Source organism: Homo sapiens, chromosome 5 (assembly GCF_000001405.40).
Source record: "Homo sapiens chromosome 5, GRCh38.p14 Primary Assembly".
Taxonomy (NCBI): domain Eukaryota; kingdom Metazoa; phylum Chordata; class Mammalia; order Primates; family Hominidae; genus Homo; species Homo sapiens.
Genome location: NC_000005.10, coordinates 73,598,625 through 73,600,383, shown reverse-complemented (window position 1 = coordinate 73,600,383; position 1,759 = coordinate 73,598,625). Strand labels below are relative to the sequence as shown.

At 43.0% G+C, this 1,759-nt stretch overlaps 1 annotated feature.

Moving 5' to 3' along the window:
- Positions 700-893: a silencer, noted in NCBI's record as "fragment chr5:72895316-72895509 (GRCh37/hg19 assembly coordinates)". NCBI's record gives its function as "represses an EF-1alpha promoter that drives an FKBP-Casp9 reporter gene in an ReSE screen in K562 erythroleukemia cells {active_cell/tissue: K562}" and the evidence as "EXISTENCE:reporter gene assay evidence [ECO:0000049][PMID:32094911]".

Below are 1,759 nucleotides of genomic sequence, written 5' to 3'. Positions count from 1 at the left end.
CACATACTATGTGGGTATTCTCTGAGGCCAGGATTAAGGGTACTGTTACCCATTTCATTTGCTTCTTCCAAGTGTCTGGGGGTGTTAGTAGGCCAAACAGCTTTAAATAATATTTATGGCTTATGTCTGGGGGGCTTTGAAGAAGAGGGGTGGTGAAGGTCTTTTAAGACTATCCAGATAATGCAAGTTTGTGCTGCAAATCTGCAAGAAAGGAGCATTATCATTACAACTCTCGGGGATGTTTGTAAATTCTCTTACTATGCTGTGAGTTAAGAAAAAATTCTGGTCAGGCTCGGTGGCTCATGCCTGTAATCCCAGTACTTTGGGAGGCTGAGGCGGGCAGATCACCTGAGGTCATGAGTTCAAGACCAGCCTGGCCAACATGGTGAAATCCTGTTCTACCAAAAATACAAAAATTGGCTGGGTGTGGTGGTGCATGCCTGTAATCCCAGCTACTCGGGGGAGGCTGAGGCAGGAGACTCACTTGAACCTGGGATGCGGAGGTTGCAGTGAGCCAAGATCGTGCCACTGCACTCCAGCCTGGGTGACAGAGTGAGACTCCATCTCAAACAAACAAACAAACAAACAAACAAACAAACAAAAAACTTCATAGTATTCTGGAGGTCAGGGGTTAGGGCACAGAGTGGGTTTACTTCCAGTTAATCCTTTCCCTGAGACTGTAGCCCAGTGGAGATACACTCTTATTGATAAAGCTCCCCATTAGGCTACCGACCCTCCTCCAGCCCTGGGCATTTGTCTCCTTTACCCCATGAGACCATCAAAACTGAAGTCCAAGTTTGCTGAGATCGGCAAATAAGTTCCAGGTAAAAGTGGCTCCAGTGCTCTCTTTACCTCTGTAGGTTTCAGTATTTATGTATATTTTGGCCTGATAATTTCTTCCTGTCTTATCAGCTCTCAACAATGTTAGACACAGTTGACCACTGACTCCTTCTTTCTTCTTTTTTTTTCCGCAGGTGATTAAAGTTTACTATTACTTTTTTAAAATTAATACATAATTGACATACATATTTTCAGGGTATAGGTGATAATATGATACATTCATATAATGCGTAAATATCAAATAAGGATAATTGGAATATCCATCACCTTAAATATTTATCTTTTCTTTACGCTAAGAACATTCAAATTATTCTAGCTATTTTGAAATGTATGATAGATTAGTGTTAAGAACAGTCGACCAGGCGCGGTGGCTCACACCTGTAATCCCAGCACTTTGGGAGATAGAGGCAGGTGTATCACTTGACATCCAGAGTTCAAGACCAGCCTGGCCAACATGGCAAAACCCCGTCTCTACTAAAAAATACAAAAAATAGCCAGGCGTGGTGGCTGGCGCCTTTAATCCCAGCTACTCGGGAGGCTGAGGCAGGAGAATCGCCTGAACCCAGGAGGCAGAAGTTGCAGTGAGCCAAGATCACACCACTGCACTCCAGCCTGGGTGACACAGCGAGACTCTGTCTCCGAGAAAAAAAAAAAAAAAAAAGTCATCCAGCCACTGACTCCTTTCTTTGACTTCTCACTACTGGAAATTCCCAGAGATCATTCTTTCCCTAGGTGATCTACTCTGATCTTATGGCTTTGACAACTCCCAAATACAGATCTTCAACTTTAACCTGTCTGTTAGTTCCAAACTCATTCATGAGTGCCATTCAAACTATAGTCCTTAGATTGGTGCCAGTCTATGAGCTGTTTATTACCTGTCAATAATGAAGTAAGTACAGAAATTGAGGGTAAGCATTTA